At 43.2% G+C, this 6,601-nt stretch overlaps 1 annotated feature.

Annotated features, from left to right (window-relative positions):
- Positions 4,008-4,457: an enhancer, noted in NCBI's record as "active region_11736". NCBI's record gives its function as "activates an Ori minimal core promoter by ATAC-STARR-seq in GM12878 lymphoblastoid cells {active_cell/tissue: GM12878}" and the evidence as "EXISTENCE:reporter gene assay evidence [ECO:0000049][PMID:35858748]".

Raw genomic sequence — 6,601 nt, 5'->3', positions numbered from 1 at the left:
TCGCACAGCAAGAGGAAGGAAGAGAGAGGAGGGAGGTGCCAAGCTCTTTTTAACAATCAGTTCTTGCAAAAACTAATAGAATGAGAACTCACCCATTATCACAAGGATGGCACCAAGCCATTCATGAGGGATCCACCCCATGATCCAAACATCCCCTTTTAGACCACACCTCAAACACTGGGGGGTCAAATTTCAACATGAGATTTGGAGAGGACAAAGATCCAAATTACATCACCTAACTCAAAGAACTTTGTGAAGATTTAATACATTTCTGCTTGGATTAGTCAGAGTTCTCCAGAGAAACAGAATCAATACAGACATATGTATAAGAATAAATTTATTATAGAATTGGCTCACATGGTATGAAGACCTAGAAGCCCCATAATATGTCATCTGCAACTGGAGAACCAGGAGAGCCAGTGGTGTGATTCAGTCTGAGTTTGAACGCCCAAGAACCAGAAGTACGAATATCCAAGGCCAGGAGAGGATGAACATCCCAGCTCAAGAAGAGAGAGTGAATTTTCCCTTCCCTAGCCTTTTTGTTCTATAGGGCCCTTGATAGATTGGAAGATGCCTCCCCATATTAGTAAGGATAGGCCTTCTTGACTCAGTCTACCAATTCAAATGCTCATCTCTGTCAAAAACACCCTCACAGACACACCCAAATATAATATTTTACCAGATATCTGGGCATCCCTTAGCCCAGTCAAGCTAGCATATGAAATGAGCCATCACGATGCTAAAAAGAATTTAGAACAGTCTCTAATGCATAGTAAGAGATAAAAATATATTAGCCCAAATAAGCTTTCTAAGGTTCCACTGTCTCCACTTTTTTCCTGCTTGAATCCATTTTCTGCACTGAAGCCAGGATGCTCTTTTCCCATGTCAGTTTTGACTCAGTGTCTGCCTTACTTAATTTTTTTTCTGGCATTCTCCTTGTGCTTAGGGAATGAAAATCTTTGCCCAGTGTGGCTCCACCTCTTTCCAAGTTCACCTCCCACTGTGCTACACCCTTGCTCTTGATCTATTACCTGCTCCGATCTCCTGCCAGGTCCTGGGATGCCCCACGTTTCTTCCTGCCACATGCTTTGTTTTTGTGGCCCCACTGCCTGGAATGATTTCCCATCTCCTCTCCTCCTGTCCCATCCTTCGGATCTTCCTCACTTCTTGGGGAGGTCCACTCTGATGCTTGCCCACCTGCCTCAAATCGAAGTCAGTTTCTCTTGTGCATACACTCTCTTAGGATCACATTCTGCACTTACCTCATTCATTCAAACCTTTTTTAAAAAAAACCAGTCTTTCCAATGAGACTGAAACGATAACACAGGGGGAACCCTCATAACTGTATGTTCAGTATGAGTTTTCTCATAACCCATACGAAATGCTTCCTAAAGTTCCATTTCCTCCCCTTGCTTCTCAAACTTCATGTTTACCTTTCTCAGAAAAAAATAAATCTGTACTCAAATCTCCACTGTGAGCCTTTATATCAAGCTTTCTAGATACACCACCCCATATCCACCCAGACTGGTCATATGCCAAAAGTCATGGCCTGTTCCCCAGCAGCACTTGTCTTCAAATCTAAGTTACTCAAGCTACAAAAGGCTCCAGGGGATGGAAGCAAACATTTCAAAGCCTTGACACTTCCAGTCCTGCAGAATAGTCTGTTCTTATGCGTATGCATATGGAGGAGGGGATGGGCAAGGGTGAAGGGCACTTCAGAAGGAGCAGCTGAAACTTTGGGAGGCTGAGGCATGTGAACCACCTGAGGTCAGGAGTTCAAGACCAGCCTGGCCAAAATGGCGAAACCACACCTCTACTAAAAATACAAAAATTAGCCAGGCGTGGTGGCACGTGCCTGTAGTCCCAGCTACTCAGAAGGCTGAGGCAGGAGAATAGCTTGGACCCAGGAGGCGGAGGTTGCAGTGAGCCAAGATTCGGCTACTGCACTCCAGCCTGGGTGACAGAGCGAGACTCTGTCTCAATAATAATAAAACTAATAATAATAATAATAATAATAATCAAGAAGGAGCAGCTGGAGATAAAGGAAGCATCTCTAGCCCTTTCATTTGCAAGATGACTCACAGACTTTCTTTTCATCCTCTAATTATCTAGAAAGTAACTTTTTTTTTTTTTTTTTGAGATGGAGTCTCGCTCTGCCCCCCAGGCTGGAGTGCAGTGGCGCGATCTTGGCTCACTGCAAGCTCCGCCTCCCGGGTTCACGCCATTCTCCTGCCTCAGCCTCCCAAGTAGCTGGGACTACAGGTGCCCGCCGTCACGCCTGGCTAATTTTCTGTATTTTTAGTAGAGACGGGGTTTCACCGTGTTAGCCAGGATGGTCTCGATCTCCTGACCTCGTGATCTGCCCGCCTCGGCCTCCCAAAGTGCTGGGATTACAAACATGAGCCACCGAGCCCGGCCTCCAGAAAGTAACTATTTAATCACATACGTTACCACCACTACTACCATCACAAACTAGCACCAGCTCCCAAGAACAAGCATTAACTTTCAGATATATTACAGTCGAAACCAGAAATCACAAACTGGAAGTCCCTTGGCCAAATCCAACACACAGTTTGCATGAAAAAGTTATAAAATTGCACGTGAAAATCTAGATTTCCAGATGCCTCAGAAAAAAATGAAAAATGTTGATTGTCCTGGAGCTAAGCAGTGGCAGCCCCTTTGCGTAAGCCAGGCTCTCTGCAGCATGCCATGGTCTCAGCCACTCCTTTTCATCTGAAAACAGCCTGCAATGCGCGTTGACTTTACCTACCTGTCCTCTGCAAGTGGGTGAGTTTTTTAGCCTTACTCTTATTCCAAAGGTGGAGAAGAGCTATTTTCCCATCCCCTTCTAAGTTTGCAAGGCTATACCACTCACAATGGAGTTAGTACTTTCCACTGTTGCACAGAATTGATACGGTCCTTTGCTTATCCTTTTTCTCATTCCCTTTTATATTGTATTCCTGGAGACTGGCAAGGAGTAGACAATGGTCCCTTGCTGAGTCTCATATCTCTTAATAGCAAACTCTTAGCTTCAAAAATGTGGTTTGAGTTGTAAAATGACTACTTATAAGGTCCAAGCTAAATTCTAAAATTAGGCTCATCCTTCTCCCCAGATGATTCTGGTTGCTCAACAGAATATAGATTGGTGGGGAATGACTGGAGGCTGGTTAAGGGAGAAGTTAGGAGGCTGCTGTCATGAAGACAAGCAAGGGGTTGAGGGGCTGAGCCCCAGAGGTGCCCACAGGAAGAAGAGAAGGGGATATATACTATGGGTTTGCTATCAAGATGACAGCAGTACTGTCCACTCTCTGACAACGACACACCAAGTGACTGTCATCACATCCTGTATTTACAATATTTTTCCCCCAGCAGATTTTAATAATTATTTTTTCTCTTTTCTTGGACCTAAACGTTTTTAAAATCTGTGTGTCTATAATGTAATGAAAACATTTACAGGCTCAATTTAGACTTGAATGAAAACTATGACTTTGGCCTCTAACCAACTAGCTAAATAACCATAGCAATCAAAATCCAATTTAGGGGCAAGACAGTGACTATAAGTTGTAGTTAAATTAAACACAGAATCTGGCTCTTATGAAAGAGAGAGGGAGAAAAAAAAAAAGTTCTACTAAACAGCCTGACAGTATTTTTTTATCCTAGTCTTGTTCTTCCTAGCAGAACACAGCTAACGTACATGTAAGTCCACTTTCAAAATTTTACAATGAATGAACACTATTCTCTACTCCAACTAAAACAGGCTTGGAGAGGAAATAGTGGGCATTCAATCAATATTTGTTGAAAGAAGTAGAGAAAAGAAGAAAGGCAGAGAAAGAACTAAGAAACATAGGAGGCCTCCAGCTATAAGTTCTTCTTCCTGGAGAAATGAGAGTCTTGAAAACTAGTCTTTGTTAAGAAACAAAAAAGATTACAAACTGCCAAAAGTTCCTCTGACATTTTAAAGGCAGAGTTTGGAGATTCAAATATCAAGTTTTGCTATAATTCATGAGTAGATAAAACTCAATACTCTGTGCGAGAAGTACCCGCTCTGTCTAAGGAGGAAGTGAAGAAAGGGTGTACAGCTGCAGGTGGAAGGAGTACAGGGAAGGAGAGGAACAAAAAGTCAGACATATGAGTCACGACCATCCTCTTGAGTTTAAAATGATCATCAAAGAATTAATAGGGGAAAAAAAGGTGAATTTTGAGGGGAATTCCAGAGCAGGGCAGTTTGTTCCTCACTTCTCTGGCCACATACTAGGACCATTTTAAGCCTCATTTAAAATGCTTCATACTTAACTGGGTGCCAGAGCAACGTGGAGCCCAGGAGCTGAGGTGGGCATCTATGCAAGGGGCTTGGAGGTAGACTTTGGGTCTTCCATACTTGATATGTGGTGTGGAGGAGATTTAGAGTGTCTTAGAAGCTCTTGTGAATGAGTGGGTATAAAGAGGCTGGAAATACCAGTGGATTATTAACAGAGGGGCCAGAACAGAATACAAAACCTTCAAGAGCAAAGTTGAGGAGCAAGATATCAATAGTCAATGTGAGCATGCTGTTGCAAAAGGCCAGATGGGCTTGGACTGTGTGAGTAGACATGGATGTGAGTGCCCAGGGATTAGACCAGATCAGTCAAGCCAGGGCAGAGACCACCGTGGGTTCAGAGATGATTATAGACTCAAGGCCCCCTGTCTCACTGCCATGAGGACCCATTAACTTCCCATTATTCCCATATGTTAAGTTGACCAGAAGAGAGAAGTGAAGATAGTTGTAAGAAGATGAAGAGGAAAACGATGGAAGACATCGCTTTCCCCAAAGAGCTCACTTTTAACTGAAAAGGGCTGCCTAAATCCTCCCAACATAAGCAGTGGCAATAAAAACTCAAAAACAGGTATAGATACGCACATACAGAATGATCTGAAACATGGAAAATATAGATTGTAAATGTCCGACTTTGCTAAAAAAATGAGATGATGATTAAAGGTAGATTATTTCAGAAACAGGAAAAAAAATAAGAAAGCACTGTTTTCTTCCATCATCAACAGATGACAGGAAGCAAAATGCAAAAAAAAAAAAAAAAGCTTAAGAGACAGGAAGAAATGTTGGTTTTGATCTTAATGACATAAGCTTGCCTCATTTATCCTCAGCACAATCAATATATTGTAGGATGAGAATAGTATGAGAATACCAAATTAAGATGAGGAAACAGAAGCTCTTGACCAGGAACTTAAAGCTAAGGGATAAGTCTGCATAGCACCCCACATACCAATAGGAAACAGATGGGACCATCAGCGGGATTAAGAGATGGAGCGGTGGCTCACGCCTGTAATCCCAGCACTTTGGGAGGCTGAGGCAGGTGGATCACAAGGTCAGGAGATCGAGACCATCCTGGCTAACATGGTGAAACCCCGTCTCTACTAAAAAAGTACAAAAAATTAGCTGGGCATGGTGGCGGACGCCTGTAGTCCCAGCTACTTGGGAGGCTGAGGCAGGAGAATGGTGTGAATCCGGGAGGTGGAGCTTGCAGTGAGCTGAGATCGCGCCACTGCACTCCAGCCTGGGCGACAGAGCGAGACTCCGTCTCAAAAAAAAAAAAAAAATGGAGATGGAGAAGGTGAGTCACCTGGAGACCAGCAACAGTGAGAAGCCGTTAACATCTCTTGACCAAAAGGGACAATGGGAGGGAATTGTGTGGGAGAGGATGAAGAAGGTGGAGGTATGGAAGAGGCACCACCTGTAAGGTGACCTGTCTCTTCCCCTCTTTACCTCCTGTCTCTTGCTTATGGCTCCCATCGGTCAAATCCAGTGGAAAGTCAGAGGTGAGGGGAGCCCAAGTGATGCAATCCATCGGAATCAGTCTTCCAGGGAGCAGAAAGAAAGAGAATGGATCCACGGGGTAAATGGATCCATTGGGTAAATGGAGAAAAGCCAGCACAGTCTGATACACAGAATGACACCAAGATGCCTTGTGAAACACAGGAGATTTAGAATGGGGGATGCCTTGTGCAGAGTCTCTGTATTTCTGTGTGATTTTCTAAAACCAGAAAAGAAAACTTGGGTGGCCAATCAAGTACCTGAAAAGAATGTGTCTGTGTTTTTTAAATTTTTCAAAGAAATTAAGAAATTTCCATCATCCTCCCCAAGGCTGTGATGTCAGACTGTTTTAGTCTCAGCTAAGCTACTTCAAACATTGTCACGTATTTCTATAAACTTGAGCTATGGGAGTTCTACTTTCACAGTTTCAATATACAACGTGGAGGCAAAGACTGTATCTATATGTCACGGATGTTCTGGTCACAAGACACACCACCGTGCAGCTGAAAGGCAAGCCAACAGGCCGAGCCAGACCAAGCTGACCTCATTTTGCAAGGCTGGCTTTGGGGGATTTTATTTTAAAACCTGAATATTTATACAGTTTGCATTCTTTAGGAGGTGATAGAGTCTATTAACCTTCAAGAGCTCTCATTTGCTTTATCTTTTTGCTAAGAGAAGACAGCCTGCCTGGCCGGGAGGACCTAGCTGACTTGGCTTAGTTTAGCCATACCTGTTGTTATTAAACACAGAGCAGAATTATTTTAAGTTCAATTTTTACATTAAACATAATAATTT

The sequence above is a fragment of the Homo sapiens genome, chromosome 17 (genome assembly GCF_000001405.40).
Source record: "Homo sapiens chromosome 17, GRCh38.p14 Primary Assembly".
Lineage (NCBI taxonomy): Eukaryota > Metazoa > Chordata > Mammalia > Primates > Hominidae > Homo > Homo sapiens.
Note: the sequence above shows the minus strand (reverse complement) of the source record. Positions and strands in the feature narration are given on the sequence as shown.